General features: G+C 43.9%; 1 long non-coding RNA gene across 1 annotated transcript in view, besides 2 other annotated features; it reads left to right on the top strand.

The window, feature by feature from the left end:
• The window catches only part of HECTD2-AS1 (HECTD2 antisense RNA 1), a 304,499-nt gene that overhangs the window by 12,736 nt on the left and 270,790 nt on the right, over positions 1–20,973 (top strand). The window lies entirely within an intron of this gene.
• Positions 6,759–9,993: an enhancer, noted in NCBI's record as "VISTA enhancer hs1950". NCBI's record gives its function as "enhancer in: somite[4/4] | branchial arch[4/4] | heart[4/4]" and the evidence as "EXISTENCE:transgenic organism evidence [ECO:0001131][PMID:17130149]".
• Positions 18,019–18,313: a silencer, noted in NCBI's record as "tiled region #13147; HepG2 Repressive non-DNase unmatched - State 23:Low". NCBI's record gives its function as "represses a minimal TATA promoter and a strong SV40 promoter by Sharpr-MPRA in HepG2 cells {active_cell/tissue: HepG2}" and the evidence as "EXISTENCE:reporter gene assay evidence [ECO:0000049][PMID:27701403]".

Here is a 20,973-nt window from a genome sequence, read left to right as displayed (position 1 = left end):
CCTTAATGTAGAAAAGTCAGGTTGCTTATCCCTTTTATCCCTCCACATAAATCTGACAGACATTTTCAAAGGCCAACCATTTACTAATGTCTGCTGATGCTCTACATTTGGAGTTTGTGATTGTAGGCAGGACGGGAGCTCTTATGTCTAGCGTCCAGGTAAATTCGTAGCACAGCGGTTAAAAACAGGGCTCTGGAGCCAAACTGCTGGTGTTTAGATCCTACTTGCTGTGTAGTTTTGCCAAGTTGCCTGGTCCACAGGTCCTCACACTTGAGTGTGCATCAGAATTCTCTTCAAGGCTTGTTAAAGGCTAGATTGTCCCACTCCCAGAGATTGTGATTCAGTGTGGCTGGGGTGGGGCCTGAGAAATTTCATTTCTAGCAAGTTTCCTGATGTTGATGCTGCTGGTCCTAGGACTAACACTTTGAGAGCTGCCAACCTTAGTTTCTCTAAGCCTCTGTTTTTCCATTTGTAAAGTGGGATTTGTGAGGTTGCTAATTTATAGAGTTGTGAGGATAAAGTAAGATGATGAATGTAAAGTGCTTAGCACATTGCTCTGTGTGAAGCTAAATGTTGGTGATCATTGGCTGTCATTAACATAAATTGAAGCCCTCTTCTGTGCTTGACTTGCTAAATCTTGCTAACATTCAAAGGAAATTCTAGATGGAGGGCAGAAAAATGTTACCTCCTTTTTTCAGGGGTTTTCAGGGAAGTAAATTATCCTTCTGAAATCACGGGACACCTACTGCTATGCTGAGGTTGCATCTCTCATTGGCGCCAGTAGTTGGGCCCTAGGGAATGCCTTTGGAAGAGGTAGGTTTAGAAAGAGAGGAGAGGGGTTGGGTCTCACCCTCAGATTCATCAAGCAGAAAGCCCTGACCATCATGCTCAGGAGTTTGTGAACATTCCTGCCCCCTGGACCTACAGCTGGCTGCCTCTGCTGCTCCATGCGGGCGGGGCCCTGCCCATCTAATCAGAAAACATTGCCTGGTCTGCGTCCTTTCCCACACTCCCAGTTAAACACAGTGATTTTCCTGGTGTTCAAGTGTCAAGTGTTGGAACCCTTCAGAAGCCACCGTACATGTTTGTTCTGCATCTCCTCCAATCTGGGCAGAGCACAGAGATACAGACTGTTAATGGGTTGGCCTTCCTAACTCCATATGACACCCTGGCTCTGAGTCTTCTCATTAGCTCGGTCCTTGGGATTCCAGCTCTGCAAGCAAGACAGTTCATGTCGATAAATAGTGCTTTGTCTGGGAGATTCTGGCCCCATCGGAGGACTGGGGTTGTGCTTGGGAGCTGCTCTCTTGTTGCTAAGATTCTTGGACTTCATCCAAGTTCACAATTCCCAGGATGGTGGAGAATAGTTAATGATTATAAAGCTCTGAAAATGTATATGCTGGTTTCATTCCAATACCACTAAAAGGAAAAAAAACCTTAATTGCCAAGAGGACAGTATTTCTGGTTTTGTTTGATTTTTGTGTAGTTAAACTTTGAAGGCAAAAGTGAAGTCCTTTTTTGCATATGTGTTTTGGTAAAAGCTTCCCCTCTGAATGCAGTAAACTCTTCTTGAGCACTGACTGTGCAAAACAGCCATGTGTGGGGTGGTAAGAAAAAGGCAAGCTTCTTCTAGTTGGAGGAGGTGAAGTGAGTATGACGTAAGGTGAAGCAAAAGGCTGCTGACTTTGGAGACAGAAGATGTAAAGACATCCTGTTTTCTGTCTTCATGTTTTAAAGTTCTTTGCCCAACACATGAATCATTTCCCTTAAAATACTTGCCTTCCCCTGTTGGAGGGCAACTTGAATCATTGGCAGCTTCTAACTGTACCTTCCTGAAGCCAAATTGTCTCTGAGTTACCCTCCCTCTTCCATCCTCCTCCCCAAATTCTAGTTTAGCTCCCCAAGCAGACTCACTACTATAAGTTAATGGGAAAACTCATTTGTTTTCTTGCCTGCTTATTTGTGGTATTTTTCTATCCAGCAACTTTCCCCTGATTATAGGTTTTAATTGTATACTTATTCACTGTCTCTCCCACTAGAATATATTATTCCTGTGGGTAGGGGCCTTCTCAGATAGTCTGACTTGGCAGTCAAATTGAAAAGGCAAAAATGAAATCAAAGGGCAATTATGTAGCATATTAGTCACCAAATCCAAGTATACTACAATTTAGGATTACACTTGGAAGTCTGAACAGTTTGTTTAGTACCAATAAAAGTAGGGCCTGCTTTATAGTTCTACACTGTGGGAAGTAAACACATAACTTACCACTCTCCCCCTATTTTATTAGATAATGCTAGTTAGAAATTGGTTTTTTAAAAAATCGGGCTTTACAAAGCTAAACACAGTCTTTCTCATATAATCCATCAACGGTGCTCCCTGGTATGTGCCCAAATGAGTTGAAAACATTTTTCCTACATAAAATCTGCACACAAATGTTCATAGCAGCTTAATGCATTATTGCCAAAAACTGGAAGCAACTAAGATGTCCTTTAATAGGTGAATGGGTAAATAAACTTGTAAGTTCAGACAAAGAAATATTGCACAGAAAGAACCATCGAGCCACAAAATGACACGGGAGAAGCTTAACTGCATATTGCTAAGGAAAGAAGCCAGTCTAAAGAGGCTATGTGCTGTATGATTCCAACTATATGACATTCTGGGAAGGCAAAACTGTAAAGAAAGTAAGATGCATGGTTGTCAAGAGTTAGCAGGGAGGTGGGGATGAATAGGCAGAGCACAGAAGGTGTTCAGGGCAGTGAAACTATTCTTTATTATGTTATGGTGATGGTGAATACATTACACCATGGATTTGGCAAAACCCACAGAACTATACAACACAAAGAGTAAACTTGATGGTAAACTGCAGGCTTTAACAAATAGTAATGTATCAATATTGATCGATCAGTTGTAAGAAATGTACCACACCAATGCAAGATGTTAATAATAGAGGAAACTGGCCAGATGGTGTGGCTCACGCCTATAATCCCAGCACTTTGGGAGGCCGAGGTGGGCGAATCACTTGAAGTCAGGAGTTCGAGACCAGCCTGACCACCATGGTGAAACCCTGTCTCCGCTAAAAATACAAAAATTATCTGGGCGTGGTGGTGGATGCCTGTAATCCCAGCTACTCTGGAGGCTAATGTGGGAGAATTGCTTGAATCTGGGAAGCGGAGGTTGCAGTGAGCTGAGATCTGCCACTGCACTCCAGCCTGGGCAACAGAGTGAGACTCTGTCTCAAACAAACAAACAAACAAAAATAGGGGAAACTGTATGTAGCTGAGGTGGGGTGGGTAGTGGGGGGCAGGAGGTGGTATATGAGAATGTTCTGTACTTTCTGTTCACTTTTTCTGTAAATCCAAAACTTCTCTGAGAAATAGTCTATTAAGTAAGAAACCCAGCTTAATCAATTCATTTATTCACTTATTCATTTTTTATTTTCAAGAAACATTTATTGAGCACCTAAAAGGTGTCAGTCATGCTGGTCACTACACAGCCCACACACTTGAGGTCACCTGTGGCATTTAGAGGGTGTACCAATGTTGTTTTTTTAAAGAACTCAGTTCTCCACAAGGTTGAAATGGATAATGGCAAACATCAATGAACACCCAGAGGGGACTGTGGAAGAGGTCTCAGCCTTTGAGGATATGAGACCTTTCCATAATCCATTCCTAATGATATTCAGAGCTCAGAAGCTTTTGCACATGGAAATATAAAGGGAGGAGGACTCTGCTACTGTTAGACACAATAATTATATCCAGGGAGAAACTGGGAGCAGAACTCAGGCTTAAGAAGCAATACATTTATGGCTTTTTCTAAATGAAAGTAACACAGCTCAAACACCCTGACCCTATTCTTCAGGTAAAGGAGAAATCCAACGTCAGCCACTAGTGGGGCTTCTTCCCTCTCTTGCATTGGAGTGTACCAGATTCCTGGTTCTGGGAAAATGTGGGAGGCACCCAAGCTATAGCTCATGGTAACTCCATTGTTGCCTTGCTCCTTTTGCTTCCCTGATGGTGTCTGGTGCTGTGATCTTCCACCATCTGCCCAACACAACTTATTGGAAGAGTATTGTACTAGTCTTGCTCTCCCTTGCAGATTTTAAGCCTATTGACCACAGGCTCAGCCACAGGGACCATTTCCATGGCTCAAGGCCATTGTGCTTAGTCTCGGCCATCTGGCAGTCACCTCATACCCAAAATCCGGGCTCTGTGGGACACTGCATGGGAACAGGGTATAGGACCCTGCCTCTCAGCTACCCTTGCTCCTCTATCCACCATTCTCTCCCTCCAGAAACTCTCCTCTACTTTCCTTAGCTACTTCCATTCCATCTTGTATCAGCCCAGTAGGGCTAGCTTTGGAAAACAAATGCCCCTAAGCTCTCCATTGGTGCAAGAGAACTTCAGATTTCCTGGAGTAAAGGAATATAGGAGGAAGCAATAGGGGAAAAGAAAATGCCTTTCTTTCTTTCCTGAAAATCCTCCCCAAATACGTTCCCCAGTGGGGTTATCCAGCCACACTGTAATTGCTAGTGGTGAGAAACTTAGCTGTCTTTATTTTAAAAACAATACCAATTTTCATGAAACACATATCAGTTCATGTCAGACTTCAGGCTCTGGGCCCTGGGCCTTCAGAGTATCAGGCATCCAGACAGTGGAGTCTTATGGACCTGGGGATGGTTCCAAAGTCAGCACAAAAGATTAAAAGCTTATGCAGTCAAAATTCCCCATGACTCTGCATTGGAAAGTGACCCTTTGCAGTATTTCACTCAGGCCGTCACAGAGATCTTATTTTTCAGCATTCAAACATTTCACTGTCTTTGGATGAGCACAAGATGAATTGATTGGCTTGCATTTAGAAGTCACGATGAATGAAAGATACCTTTGAACACAACAGTCACCTTTAATGTCATGTGAAGCTCTCACTAAGAGATCCCCAGGGGACCTGGCCCATCTCCCTTCTCATATTTACTCAGGGGCATGCGTTCATGGAGTATAATGTCTGGTGGAGTCAAAGCATCGTTTTAAAGTCTCTCTTCTTCCCTCTCTTTTCTCTCTGTCTCCATCTCCACTCCCCCAGGTGCATACAGTTTGCTTGGAATAGGAAGGAACTCCACTGTGCTATAAACACCTGCCTGCTCTGTGCCAAGCCCTGGGGCGTCGAACAAGTCCTGCTCTGTCAGTATCAATTCCTGTCCTCTCCGACCTTTCTGTCGGCACTTTCTCTGGGCTCTCATCTCTGATTGTCCTTGGTGGCTCTTGCTGTTTTTTTGATTCCTAAAGTTGACTATATACCTTTCACTGTAGAACGTGTTTATTGATCAGTTAGGCCTTGGGGTAATCTGGCTTTCGCCCAGGCTCTGTTGAGAGCCATGCTATTTTAGAATTGATGATGATAGCCGCAGACTCCCCTGCTCTGCTGTGATGCTGCAGGAGATCTTCCTTCCCAGTGTCCTGGGCCTGTTCTTACTGGCCTTTTTAGAAACTAAGTCTTTTCTCTGTATTTCCATAAGTTCCTGCTTCAGGACTAGTGTTTCTCTGCTAAGCACAACTTTGGACATCCTTTCTCAGTAATCTTCCTGGAGCTATAATAAACCAAGTTGTCTGATGCTCATTGCTTTATCTAAGCTGGGAGAAGTAGGGGAATAAGGCTTTGCCTTAAGACAGCATTTGAATATTGACCCTGCCTCTAGTTGTGTCACCCAGCACAAATTCTTTAGCCTCTCTGAGCATCTCCAGAGACTCCACTGTAAAATGGAATTGCATTACCTACCTTGGAGGTTATTACAGGGAATAGAGTTAGACAAAAGGGCCAGGCAGGCACAGATCTTCAACACCTGTTAGCTGTTAACTATTACCTCATTCCGTGGGGGCAGGGGTGGGTTAGGTGAAATGTGGGACAGCTGCTTCTACTCAGAATGTTTGTAGCCATTGCTTCTCTTCCTTTGTATGGCTAGTCTGGTTTTGTTTTAGACCAAGGCAAAGTGCAGCGGTGGAGGCACACCTGGGCTCAGGTTCCCATCCTGCCACTCAGTTGATGCCACCCTTGGGTAAGTCTCTGGTCTCTCTCAGCTGCAGTTTTCTTATTTATAAAATGAGGGTAATATTTTCCAACCCCCTGATTATTGGAAGAGTAGGAGATAAGGTATGTAAAGTGGTCAGTTCAGTGCCTGCCTTGAAAATCACCACCTGATACTGGGTGTGCCGTCTCCTCTCAGATCATAAGTTCTTTGTGGGAAGGAACATGTCGGTGTCACTCCTGGCTCAGTGACTGGCATGAAGAGAGGCCTCAGCAGCTAGCAACGGATCAAACAAATAACTTGTCTCTCCCTAGTTCTCAGAAGACCCTGTTTGAAGGCTGTAACATTAAGGTCCCGTAGCAATTTAAAAGATAAACAAACCCGAAATAGGCTCCTACGGCATTAAATAGGGCAACTTTCAAATGGGTCATGATGGAAAAAACAAAAATTTCAACTGTGTTATGTAAAAGGCTCACAGGACTTGGTTCACATAAGAAAAAAGCTCTGGAAAATTGTACTTGGGATTTCAAACCGAAGGCAAATACATCTGTGGTGAAAAAATATTACACATGATTTGCTAAAATTTTTTAGACAAAAACCAGCGTTTTAAATAAAAACACTATGATCATAGCATCCCTGTAACTGTTATTCTGGGACATAGTTTCCTCTTTTCCAAAGTTTGAGGTCTGGGCTAGATCTAGGGGCCTCGCAGGCTTTGACAAGATGTTTGGATTTTTCCCAAAACACAGAGAGAAGCCACTGGAGTTTTAAGCAGGAGTAGGCTGTGATTGATTTATGTTTTTAAAAGCCTGGCCTTTTTCTCATTTCACCCTGCTACCCGATGACCGTTCTCCATCCTGCCTCCATTCTGCCTTCTGCGCTGTATGCCCCGTCGGTTTCTCTTTCCACACCATTTCTTCCCCAACCCAAGTCACTCGGGCCCACGGCAATGGCTTCTTCCTCTTTGCTCACAGCATTTGCTGGGATCTCATGCACACTCGGCCCCATGACATTGCATGCTATTATTAGCTTCTGCATATGTTAGTTAATGAATTAATTCAGCAAGCATGTGTTGAACAGCTGCTGCATGTCAGGCGCTGTGCTAAGGGCAAGGGATAGATGCAATTAGGACACGTTCCCTGCTCCCAAGTAGCCTGGAGTCTGGGAGCAGGGACAGCTATGTAAACAGTGATAAGCGTGGCAAGGTTTTTATGGGATCTGAGATAAGAGACCTCTAACCAAAGGGGGAGACAGAGAGGGTAGGGTGGGGAGGGTTAGGGGAGACTTCCGGATGAAAAGAGGTTGGGACTGAATCTTCAAGGCTGACTAGGAGTGGCAGGGAGGGGTGGGCGCAGAGGGGTCAGGTTGAGCAAAGGCATGAGGCAGAAACAGGTGAGAAATTGCAAGCAGTTCATTGTTGATGCAGCATTTAATGAAAGGCTGAGAAGCATAGGAGATACGACTGGAAAGCAAGGGAGAACAATGCAACACAAAACAAACACAACCCAACACCCAGGATGTCACTGTTCAGATCCAAGGAATTCTGGATCTGAACTAGGGAAAAGCCCCAGCGTGGGATATAGGAGGCCAGAGCTGTTAGTCATTTATTTATTCATTGAAGTACCATCCTGGGGATACTGCAGTGAGCAAAACTGGAGGGGTCTCTGCCCTGAAGGAGCCTGAGGAAGCCCTTGGGAAAGAGCCCAGACCTAGCCTCAGGGCTTAGGAAGCCTCCCTGGAGGTGGTGTCCTCTGGTCAGTTCTGACAGTGGGCTTCATGGAGTTGAAGGGGTAGGGAGTGAGAAAGCCACCATGCAAAAGAGGTCATGGTGGCCCACCTTTCCCTTGACCCACCCCCAGCCTTCCAGGCCCAAGAAAGCAAGCCACAGATGTGGGCTGGAGACGGGGGATGGAAAGGAGGCCAGAGAGAGGCCTACAGAGCCCTCCTTCCTGACTGTTTTGCTGCCTCCCCAGTCATCTCCTGGAACATGGGCCTGTTTTGTAAACATAGCGAGTCAGCCCAAATATGTGGGGTTTGGCTCTGGCTTGGCCAACCCAGCTCACTAAGCAAATAGTGAGGGATTCTTTCCCCCATTTCTTCCTAAACTAAATCTTCTCTGGGTGCATACTTTACAGAACGCCAGCAAACTGCAGTTTGGCGTCCTTCCCAAGGAAGAAAAACATCTCCTCAGATTTTCCACATGCCCTCCCCATCCTGCGGGTCCAGTGCCAAGACTTGGCTGGGGATAGGGCTGCTGCTGCTCCGGGGAAGGGCGGCCATGGGGGAATGTGCCACCACCCCAGGGGAGAAGCATGGGCCAGAATTTCAGGAGATAGTGGGAGAGTGGGAAATAGGTGTGTAGTTGGTTGGGGGCAGGAACCTATGCAGATAGCAGCACTGCTAGGAACCATGCTGGCACCAGCAGACCCTGGAACAGCTCATTAATGTTGACAAAGCACCTTCTCATCTCATTTGATCTCCCAACAAATGCATGAGACAGGTAGAGCACATGTGATTACCCTTCCCATATAACCAATGAGTTAACAACTTGAAATTGGCTTGACCCAAGTTAGAATTCCATCTCTGCCATTATGTGACCTTGGGCAAGGCGTGAAATCTCTTGCAGCCCCCTCTCTCTATTAGGGATAATAATAGTACTTTCCCCAGTGTTGTGTTGAGGGTTAAATGAGATACTGTGAGCGAGGAGCCCGCTCCATGCCTGGCCCTAGCAGGTGCTGCCCTGGTTCTATTGTAATGGCTGGACAGGTTACCTGACTCCTCTGCGTACTGCTGGCACTGTGACCCAAGTGTTTTGACTTTCAGCACAGCCTTTTATATTGCCTCAGTCAACCCCATGCCCACCAGGCCACTCCTTACTCTGTCCCCTGTCCCTCTCACCTCCTCACTTCCCCCTCCTTCCTTCTCCCCCACACTCCCCCAGCAGAAGATATTGCAAGCTTTGAGGTTGCCCATGTGCTTTCAGCTCAGAGATCTATGCTGACAGCTGAGGGGTCTGTAAGTCCACCAGGGCAGTCCTTAAGTTCAAATTCTTGCCCTACTCTGTGGCAACAAGTGACCCTAGAAACTGCATAATGGGTGAAACTTAAGCTTCAGAACATGAGCCCCAGTTCACAGTCTGCCTGTTTCCTCTTATAGTCAAGGGCGAGCATCCAAATGCCCCTTCATTTATCATTGTCATTGCCACTCTGAAAGGTCAGAGCGCATTCCTCTCATTGCCTCCAGACACTTGGCTCTGGGCTGTGATTAGACTTGGAGGCTGAGCCTTGCATGCAGTCGGCACTTACGAATGTTTGTAGAGGAGGAGTCAGGTCCTGCCCTTGCCAGGGCCTGGAGGGTCTATGTTATGACAGCTTATGGAAAAACAGCATTTTCTCATCTTGGTCAGCTCAGTGGCTCCTTTGTCATAGACCCAGATTGTTTCCCTAATGAAAACTCAACAACTTTTATAACTGTTTCCTCTGCCCTCTTCCCTTAGAATTCTCAGGCTCATTGTTGCTTCCTTAAGGGCCTGTCTAACCATCCCATTGAAAGTGACTCCTCCTGCCCCACCCAAGGCACTATCTCATCATCATTTTTTTTTCATGCTACTTCTTACTGTCTGAAGTTATTTCTTTGCTTATTGTCTTTGTGACTACAAAGCAGACACCATGAGAGCAGGACGTTGCTTGTCGTGGTCACTGGTATCCCAGTGCCTGGCATGCATATAGCTGGAACACAATAGTTATTAATTTATGGATAAGTGAAGCAACCTGAAGACCATGGAGGTTCAAAGTCTTCATTTTGCAGACAAGGGATCTCAGACCCAGAAAGCTTAAGAAACCTAGTGTCAATTCTCTTGCGCAGAGCCCTCTGCCATGAGCTCTTTCTCCAGGATATTCTTCCTCAATTCTGAAGGGCCTCTGGAACCAACATGTAATGGTCTGCTTTTCTATTCATGAAGGAGGACGACTTTGTGTCTCTGAAGAGTTACAGTGCAAAAATGTATCTGACAGGCACCCTAATAAGCCAATGGACAGTTTGCTCATTGGGGCTGAAAATGGAAAACACACAGATGTACATAAAACACGCTGAAAAGAAATTAACATGGACCCACTTGTGGGTAAGGATTGATTGCATAATGTGATGTCATCCTGTTGGATGTCAGCTAGCCAGGGAAACCCATAACTGGGTCATGACTATTGGTGTCGGGGGAGATGTTTCCCCTCTAGATTCTGGGGGAAGAATAAGAGGGCCGTGATGAGTCATAGGGAGCAGTGGGCTGGGAGGCTTCTTCATAGAGTAATTTGAGGATTAACTATGAAGAGATGCATAAAGGGTTCAGCACGGTACCTGCCCAGTAAGGGGTAGTTCTGTTTTCATCCCTAAAGATGGATGATTCTGGCTGAGGACTTATTTGCTTCTCTGTTTCACTGACTCCCACTAGTTTTCTTATATTTATCTCATGGGAGATGACAGGAGATGACTCATACCAAGTAGCAAAAAGAGCCAGCACGCTGGCTCCGGTAAAATGTTGTGTGGGGCAGTAAGGAGCTAATAATAATAATAAGGTATAACAGCTACGGCTTCACTTAATTTACACTTTTTATGTCCCAGCCAATGGGCTAAAAGTTTAGGTGTGTTACCTCAGTCATTTGTATGAGGTTGGAACTATTTTTGTTTTGCTTAACAGATAAGAAACAACCATTCAATCCTATGAGAAAGGAACTATTTTTACTCCTGTTTTACAAAGGAAAAAACAAAACTTGGAGTGGTCAAGTGGCTTGCCCAAGGTTACTTAGCCGGTAAGGGGCACAGCCAGAATTCCAGCTGTGGCACGTGATCTGACTCCAGAGATCAGGTGTGAAAATACTTCCTGTACTGCCTCTCAGGAGGCTGGACATGAGGGCTAAATAAATTAGAGGTGGTGGAGTTTTGGTGACTGTCAGTCTCATGTTGTCTCTAGCCCCTTTGTTTTGTTAACCAGATATAGACAACACATGTCTAGTAAGAATATTGTCACAGACTAAAGAGAATGGGTTTTACAAGAAGACACCTGGGGCAGCATAAATGATTGCCATAGCCATGACAATCCAATGAAGTGAATTTCCAAGCAATAAGTGTTCTGTGCTCATACCACCTTGCACCTGAAAAGCATGCATTGCATTATGTGTATTCAATTAAATAAAAAAAATAAAAAATATACTGGCTCAGTGCCTGGCAAAAAGTAGGCACTTAATTGTAAGATACTCTCATCTGTACCTTTATTTCCCTAATGCCTAACACAGTGCTTAGCAAGTAGTAGGTGCTTAATACATATAGTTTTTTTTTTTTTTACTAGTAGCACTTAGTACTTAATAAAAATGACTATCAATGTTCCATGCTAAACATTTCAAGACAGTATCACTTCTGCCCCTTATGCTCATTCAATGAAGTTGTGGTTAATAACCCCATTTAGCAATATGATTTCCTTTAATGGAAGGAAAAACAGGCATATGGAGGTTAAATACTTAGGATACCGAGCTGTCAAGCTGGTAAGTGGCAGAGCCAGGGGTTTAAGTGAATGGGTTATCAGAATCTCCTTTGATGGTTCCCATAGTGACCAGAGGAGATGAGTGTCTGTCATTCTCTAGGTTATCTGTGGGCCATAGCCGGAAGCTTACTGTTTCTTAGATTCTTATTTCTTAAAAAAAATTGTGCCATCTTAGCTTTCTACTATATCTATGGTTAATTCAATCTAAATTAATGTTTGAAGCCATTGACAAGTTTCATTACTTAAATCATGCTCTCCCCCAATCTTTGTATTATCTTGATGCTTCAGAAAGATGCACCATGTTTGTCCTGTGGCTTCCCATTCTCCTGGCAGACCACCAGAGACATGCGCATTCTAGGTTGAACATGGGGCTGGGGGAACCTGGGAAGCTTCCTGGGAGAAGTGAGTTCTGAACTAGAATTTAACTGGCTGGCAGAGGGAAAACTGGGACCTGGATCTTACAGCTCTTCTTCCATGCATTCCCCGCTCCTTACCCCAAATCTGTTCACACTTTATCCCTTGGTAATGGTAGAGCAGAGTGGAGGCTCAGTACAGAGCTTGGAATATATGAGATTGTCAGTGGCAAATAAATGAATGAATGACTGAGTGGATGGATGAAGTCTGGTCAGTGATGGGCATCAGCATCCCCTTGGAAAGGCCAATGGCCTGAGAGAAGCCAAGGTGGGGCTTTATATTGTGAAGGGCTACCTGGAGGAGGAGGCTACAGCCACCAAGGACACCTTAACCTTACCACCTCCACTTCTAGGTTTTAAGCTATTATTGATGCTGCTGTGATCACTAAATGTCAGTCAGTGAGGGAGCATCTTGTGCCACTAGAACTGGGCACTCATAATCAATTGGGAAGGTAATTTAGAGGGCCCTAGAGATTTTCTAGTCTATTCTTCCCATTTTATAGATTAGGAAATTGAGGCATAGAGAGGGAAAATGAATGATCCAAGGCCACATGGCTTGGTGAAACTGTTCATTGCATATTCAATAGCCATTTCTTGCTCCTTATTCCTTCCCAGCAGAACCCCAGTTTTGATTGATATTGGGCTTCCATGGTTTGATGGAAGACCTTACCCCTCTCTGTCCCTAGAGAATAAATCTTGGTTAGTTTGAGCCAATCATAATCATTTTATCCTCTTTGCCAGGGACTGGTTTGGGATGAGCATGTGGTTGAATTCTAACCAATGAAACATGAAGTGGGGGACTTTGGGGAAAGTTTTCCCCCATCTTAAAGAGCAGTGACAGTAAGGGCTACACAATCTTAGTCTCTATGGTTTTAGAGTTTGCTGAATGAGGACAGGGTGCTTGATGTACTTGCAACCAAAAGAGTCACACCGAGGACAAATGCCGACACACTGTGGTTGGCCAATTTGCATGATGAAAAGAACCTGAATCCATGGTGGTGTCACTGAGCCACTGAATTAACTAGCTCTGGAAATGTTCTACCTCTGGACTTCTTATCAAATGAGACAGCAAAATGTCTTTATTGTTTAAAATAGTTGACTTGAGCTTTCTATGATCAGTCACCCAATGCATCCTTATTGATACATATCACCAGGTAGGATCAGATTCCCAAATCAGTGTTTAGATGGCCCTTTGAAGTGGCTGGAGTGATCTCTGAGACCACCAGGAAGCAATAGCAGAAGTAAAGTGTTTGGGATTATCCATTGGGTTGCGTCTCGATTGCTCCTGTAGAATATTAGAGGCTCCCAGGAAGATCCCACAGACTAGCCTTGGATTTGGACATAAACTTTGTAATCAGTAGAATTAGGGTTGGCTTCTATATTTTAATGTTAAATATGATTTTTGCTTATTTATTTACTTATTTATTTTTGAGATAGCCCATGAGGCAGGAAACACAAAACAATGATTTTTACCCTCAAGGCTTTATTTTGTCACATAACACTAGTTGTGGAAGTTCCATGAAGACATTAAGGACTCGGACTCCTTACACATTATTTCCATGGTGTAGCCCTCACCCTCATGTGCAAGATGGCTGCTAGAGATCCACCATCACATCTATGTCCCAGACAGCCAAATAGGAAAGGTGGGAAGAATGTTACCCCTCCTTTGTTTAAAGGTTGCAATAAGATTATGTTGTTTTCTGAACTGCTCCTCCTCATTTCTTCTCCCCTCTTTTCTTTCTCCCTCATCCCCAAATGCCAACACAGGGGCTCAAAGAAGAGCCTCCTACATTTCAGGTTAGTCTTTTGATATGTAAGTGCTCAATAAATGTTTGTTTCTGATGATGAGGGGAACAAATGACTCCCTTTGCATTCCAGGTTCTGGGGCAGGGCTGACGCTCCCCAGTGTCTTGCAGAGCCGGGCAGGAAATGACAGAATGGACATAACAGTTTGGTATAAGAAAAATGAGAAGTGGGCTAGGCGTGGTGGCTCCCTTCTATAATCCCAGAACTCTGGGAGGCTGAGGTGGGTGGATCACCTGAGGAGTTTGAGACCAGCCTGGCCAACATGGTGAAAGCCCATCTCTACTAAGAATACAAAAATTAGCTGGTCATGGTGGCATGCACCTGTAGTCCCAGCTACTTGGGAGGCTGAGGCAGGAGAAATGATTGAATCTGGGAAGGAGGCTGCAGTAAGCAGAGATCACACCACTGCACTCCAGCCTGGGCAACAAGAGCGAGACTCCATCTCAAAAAGGAAAAAAAAGAAAGAGAGAAAAATGAGGAGTGGTAGCAACCCTCCTGAAAGGAGGTACTGTTATTCAGCTGCTGCCAATTGTTGTCAAGAGGGAATACAAGTTCCATGTTGTCAACTCTTCCATTATTCAACAGAAGCTGAAAATCTATATTTTAATGTTAAATATGATTTTTACTTATTTATTTTTGAGGTAGGGTCTGGCTCTGTCACCCAGAATGGAATGCAGTGGCATGATCTTGGCTCACTGCGGCCTCTGCCTCCTGAGCTCAAGCAATCCTCCTCCTTCAGCCTCCCAAGTAGCTGGGACTACAGGTTCATGCCACCACACTTGGCTAATTCCTAAATTTTTTGTAGAGATGAGGTCTCACTATATTGTCCAGGCTAGTCTCAAACTTCTGGACTCAAGTGATCCTCCTGCCTCAGCCGCCCAAAGTGCTGGGATTACAGGTGTGAGCCACTGCACCCAGCCTAAGTATAATTTTTAAATATTAGACCAACACTGCGTGTTTTTTGGGTTGGGAGTAAATCTTGAGGTCAAATGTTGTATTTGATTAGTTCAGCAGAATCTGGAATATAATGAATACTCAGTGTTTATTGAATGAATACATTAAAGCTTTCCAGTTGCTTTTCTTTCCCAGAAGATTGAATGAAACATGTGGAGCAACTGATAAAAGACAAAGGCACTCATGTCTTTGTTATATATTTGTTAGTTGTTCTAGTGTTGTTTTATTTCTTTCTCTCAAACTAGAGGCTAAGCACTCAAAGACAGAGATCTTATTATCCATCACACCAACCTCTTCCTTTTTAAGGAGAGTTCCCCAAAGTTCCATATTAGGCTTCCTCTTTTTTTTTTTTTTTTTTTTTGAGATGGACTCTTGCTCTGTTGCCCAGGCTGGAGTGCAATGGCGCTATCTCGCCTCACTGCAACCTCCATCTCCTGGGTTCAAGCGATTCTCCTGTCTCAGTATCCCGAGTAGCTGGGATTACAGGCGCCCACCACCATGCCTAGCTAATTTTTGTATTTTTAGTAGAGACGGGGTTTCGCCATGTGGCCAGGCTGGTCTTGAACTCCTGACCTCAGGTGATCTGCCCGCCTCGGCCTCCCAGAGTGCTGGGATTACAGGCGTGAGCCACCGCGCCCGGCTTGAGGCTTCCTCTTATATCTCATTGGATAGAACAGTTATATTGTTGGAAACCTGGGACATTTAGTCTTTATTGAGTTACAGTTGTTCAGCTAAAAGCTGGAGTTCTTCTACCAATGAAGGAGGAAAGGATATTGGAAAGCAGCTAGTGGTCTCTTTCACATGACCCTGAAAAGAAAACTATGGGATGCTGCAGTCAACAGTCACTGAATTCCATGCTATGGTAAATAACGTGAATTGTAAGGTGTCAATGCTAGAAGTGGTCGCTCATTTTACAGGTAGGACATTTGAGGAACAGAGTAGTGAAGGGATTTATCCATGGTAACATGATAAGAGAAGCTGTCCTTCTAACTCTATCTTGTGCTTGATGTGTCACCAACTCTTGTTAATGTCTAAATCATAGCATTTAGCCCTCATTGATTCCTTCCTGCCATTGTGAGGCACCCAGGCCCTCTTACCTTCCCACCACCTTCTAAACTTGGCATCATCTCACCCTTTGCCCCGATCAACTCTTCACTAATGACTTTCTCAGTCCCTCCAGCCCAAAGTTAGCTCATCATTTTCATCATAAGGGGCAACTAGTATTGATTGGTAGAGGCTTCCAGGGATGATCTCTCATGGATAATTCTGAGGGCTCAGTGAAAAAGAGTACTGAGATTGATTAATGAGGTTTGCTGTGGTTGTTCAAGAAATGGTGCCTCTTGGGGCAAGAGTTCATCTGAGCCCTGGCTTCTTTCCTTTAGGGGCTATGAAAAAGCCCCTTTCATGGGCTTACCCTACAAGGTATCTGGCATTAACATAGAACAGCCCTGTTCCTACAAGCTAGGTGAACCTCCAGCCACACTGCAGCCATCAGGGAGTGGGCAGTGGTGTGACTTATCACATATCAGAAGCTCAAGGCCATCTATCACCAGGGCAGGCCTATCTGATCCTGTCTTGCATCAGACAGATAACTCTTATTACCACTCTACAAACCTGAACATGTAAAAATAGACAGGATTAGGCTGTGACCAGTGCCCTGGAGTTACTGAGGCAGCCTCATAGTGAGATTGTAATGACAGCTCTCTCACAGGCCAGATGCTAAATATATCTTCCCCACAGTTGCAAGGATGGTGCCAGGGAGCACATCAGCCGCATGATCCTTCCTGGTCACGAGGGGAGAGATCCTGAGGACTTTGCTCTCAGAGTCTATTCCTGAATCAGGCTCAAGCCCAGAACAAGAATAGATTCTCCGTGTCCTGGCCAACTGTCCTACCTGTGGTCTCCAGATGGGATACCATGTGTCACACCCTGACAAGCATGTAGGCAGCTGTGGAGGAGATGGCAGGACTCTTGGGCATGTCTTGAGAGAAGTCTTTGGGTCAGGAGGGCACATCTTCTTCCTGCCTCATGGACCGTAGGAAAAGGAGGGAGCCTTGGGTTGGTGGTATTGGAGGGGAAAGGGCTCTGAGAGTACCCCATCTCCCCCTGCAAATCCACAGAAGCAGCCAATCTGATTCACTCCAAAGTGAATCCATGTTGATGACTTAGATTTGGTCATATGTGCCCCTTCCTTCCCTAACACTTCATTTCTTGAATAGCATACAGCTATTTGCCAGCTTAGCTAAAATTTTAACTACACAGGTATTACAATAATGCATTTTTATCGTAAAAACCTTCAAGCAGCACTTTGGGAGGCTGAGGTGGGCAGATCACCTGAGGTCAGGAGTACGAGACCAGCCTGGCTAACATGGTGAAACCCCGTTTCTACTAAAAATTAGCCCAGTGTGGTAGCACACGCCTGTAATCCCTGCTACTCGGGAGGCTGAGGCAGGAGAATCGCTTGAACCTGGGAGGCGGAGGTTGCAGTGAGCTGAGATCATACCATTGCACTCCAGCTTGGGCAACAAGAGTGAAACTGTGTCTCAAAAAAAAAAAACAAAAAACCCTAAAAAATAAAAAACAAAACCTTCAAACAGTACAGAAGAAAGTAGAGGAAAATTAAAAACCCCCCTTTCTCTTATTCTCTCTCCAATTCTAAGAAGTAACCTGTGATCATACATACTTTATTTTATTTTATTTCATCATGTTGGCCAGGCTGGTCTCAAACTCCTAACCTTAAGTGATCTGCCTGCCTTGGCCTCCCAAAGTGCAGGGATTACAGGCATAAGCCACTGCAACTGGCTGGTCATATGTACTTTCTCTGCACACATCATAGAATACATTGCAACACACACACACACACACACATACACAAATGAAAGTATGGTATAGAATAGTGTAGTGTAGTATAGTATACAAGTTTACAGGTAATCATTCAAAGATTGCCTGGGTTCAAAGAGCTATACATCTTTGGTCAAATTACTTTGCTTCCTTGTGCCTTGGATTCCTCCTCTGTAAAATAAGGATAATGTTAGACTCTACCTTACAGAGTTATTATGAGGATTTGATGTTGAGACTTTAAACACAGTGACTAACACAGAGGAGGGGCTTGAGTCTTATTATTACATATGCAAATAATAAGGCCATGTTGGTTATCTATTGTTGCAAACAAATTACACCAACACGTAATGGCTTAACAGCAAAATTTTATTATCTTGCAGTTTCTGTGGATCAGGAATTTAGGAGCAGCTTAGCTGGGTGGTTGTAACTCAGGGTCTCTCATAGGGTTGGATGTTGGCAGGGGCTGCAGTCATCTGAAGGCTCGACTGGGGATGTGTAGAATCTTCTTCCAAGATGGCTCACTCATATCTGTTAGCAGGAAGCTTCAGCTTCTTGTTGCATGGATATCTCTGTTGGCCACTGAAATGTCCTTATAACGTGGCAACCAACTTCCCCCAGAGTAAGCAATCTAAGATAAAGTGAATGAGGAGGAAGCCACAATGTCTTTTATGACTTTGTCTCTGAAGTTGCATACTGCTGCTACTACTTCATTCTATTCATTACAAGTGAATCACTAATTTTCAAGGGGAGATGGATTGAAGAGTTGTATGAAAGAATTTATGGACATATTTTACAACCACCACAAAGGTTATCTCAGACGTACATTCTATTGTGTTCTATGTGTTGCTTTGCAGTTTGCTTTTTGTGCATATAAAGCTGCATCATTCTGTCTGACTGCCATATGGTATATTTCATTGTGAAGATATACCATAGTTTCTTCAACCATTTTCTGTTTGATGGGTATTTGGGTTTTACTTTTCTTTCTTCGAAGAAAGCAAGGGTCTAAGTAAGGGCCTAAGTGATCATCTAAGAAAAGCGTCACTTCTTAGAGGCTCACAGTCTGAAGAAAAGCTTCTAAGTCTCTAATTCCAAGAAGTTGGCAGTGGTATTAGGGAGCAAAGAGACATTTAGATTTCAGGTGACGAGGTAGGTCAGAAGACCAGGACATATACAGACTTGAAACCATTCACAGGAAAACATTAATATACAATATTGTCATCACCGATTCCAGAGAAGCTGTTGTTGCCTCTGGCCCTGGTTTTATGCTCCGCCTGAGTGAGGCATGCCTGGGAACCCAAGGAATGTCTTCAGCCTGATGTGCAGCTGGGATGGCCAAAAGTTTACAACATTAGACATCAAGCTTCAGTGAGGTCTCCTAATGCTGGTTTGAATCTTTCTTATTGAGACAGACAGTTTTAGTTAGCTACCTTTCATCCTCCCCTTCTCACCACATACCCCAGCCTCTTTTAATTACCCTGATTTTGTTTAGGATGGCAGTGGCCTGTCCTCTGAGGTTGAATTGTGATTAGTCAAAGTCAATGACTGTAATTCCACTCACCAGATATTTACATTTCCAGCCTCCTTCATAGCTTGGGGTGGTTCATGTAAATGTTTTGGCCAAGGCAGTCTAAGCAGAAGTCTGCCAAAGGACTTCTTGGAAAGCCTTTGCTTTCTGCATAAAATAATCAGATATGACTGGCACTCCTCTACCCTCTCATTTTGCCTTAAATGTAGATATACTATCTAGAGCTGTGGTCACCATCTTGAGACATGCAATTAAAAAAAACTGAAAAGCCACCATGCTGAAGATTTGGGGTGGAAAGAAGGAAACACATAGGAACTTTCAGCTGCTGCAATAGCTATGGACTCCATACTCACGGACTTTTTGTTATGGAGAAAAATAACTCTACTTTTTAAAAAGGCACTGCTTGCTGGTTTTTCTGTCACTTGTAGCCGAGAGCATTCCTGATACATTTCCTGCTTCTTTCTAAGCTCTACAAGTGCAGATACTCTGTCTAATATGCATCCCATTGAATACCCAGTGCCAAGAAGTATGCCTGAACACAGATGATGCCTGATGAATGAATAAACTGAACTAATGAGTATCTTCTTAGGTACTAGGAGCTTCTCTATAAGAACATTGGCCTTTTGGAGAATCCTTTCTCCTGATCCCCAGACAATTTTCTTTTTCGATTCAGCAGAGGTGGTGCTTCCCTGAACCTGCAGACAGGTTTACAATACCTAGGCCATGGCAGAAATATCTCTGCTATATAATATCCTTTAACTCAGTCACAGTTTCATCACTGGGAAACATAAACCAACAAATTACTCTATAAAAGCTAAGAAAAAATTTCTCTTCATCCTTTTCTAACTAAACATGCTTGGATAGGGTTACAGTGAACTGGTCTTATATCAAATTCTGCTCAAAAGCAAACAGTGTTCTAGCAGAGGGAGACCAGGGAAAGCCTCACACTTGATAATAGCCAATGCAGGGAATGTTGGCTGGTACATTATCCAGGTGGAAGAATAATATCTCCCGGAAAGTGAAGTGGGTCTTTATGGAAGTGAAGAGAAAATATTTTAAGAGTCTCACTATTGATGTAAGAAGAGATTGAGTTTAAAAAAATATAAAAAGCATCATGAGTTTGTTGAATGTAATTGGACTCTTGTAGACAATTCTAGAACCAACTTCATGCCATGTATGGATGCAAAACAAGGGCTGAATTAACCCATAATCATCAGGCTTTTGACAAATATAAGTGGGGCTGGTAGCATCTTAATTTTCTGGTGTGTTATAGTAGAAAGAAGGTATTTTGGAATTCCTAGTTGGAATGCAATTTCCAGTTCTTACTAACTGTGTCACTCTGAGCCAATTACTTTCTCTGAGCTTTAGTGTCCCTCTTTGTAATACTACCTACCTGACAGGGTTGTTATGAAGATTTAAATAAAATCATACAGGCAAAATGTCAGGCATATAATGTTGCTTCTACTACTATCACTACCTCTGCTACCGCTACAAACACCACCACTACCACCACCACCACCACTACTACCCCTATTACTACTTCCACTGTTCCACCACCACTACTGCTACTGATACTACTACTACCACTACTACTATGATTTGTAATGCAAGAGACAAAGCAGGCTTCCCATCACTGTTAGCACTCTTCTGTGGTATTTTAAATAAGGAAGACAAACCTTCTTTTCAATGAACTAGGAGGAAATAAAACCATAGACTCAAATTCCTTTTCCCTCTTGAAAACAAATCACCTTCCTTTGGGTTTTGGAAGGAACATCTGGCAGGTAAATTGGTCTTACTGCTTTAGGCCAGACAGGAGAAATGTTGTCTGCATCCCCACTGCCTGGTTCTGTAACTGTGTTTGGGATCTGAGGTCCTTGCAGGAGGCAT

The sequence above is a fragment of the Homo sapiens genome, chromosome 10 (genome assembly GCF_000001405.40).
Source record: "Homo sapiens chromosome 10, GRCh38.p14 Primary Assembly".
Taxonomy (NCBI): domain Eukaryota; kingdom Metazoa; phylum Chordata; class Mammalia; order Primates; family Hominidae; genus Homo; species Homo sapiens.
Note: the sequence above shows the minus strand (reverse complement) of the source record. Positions and strands in the feature narration are given on the sequence as shown.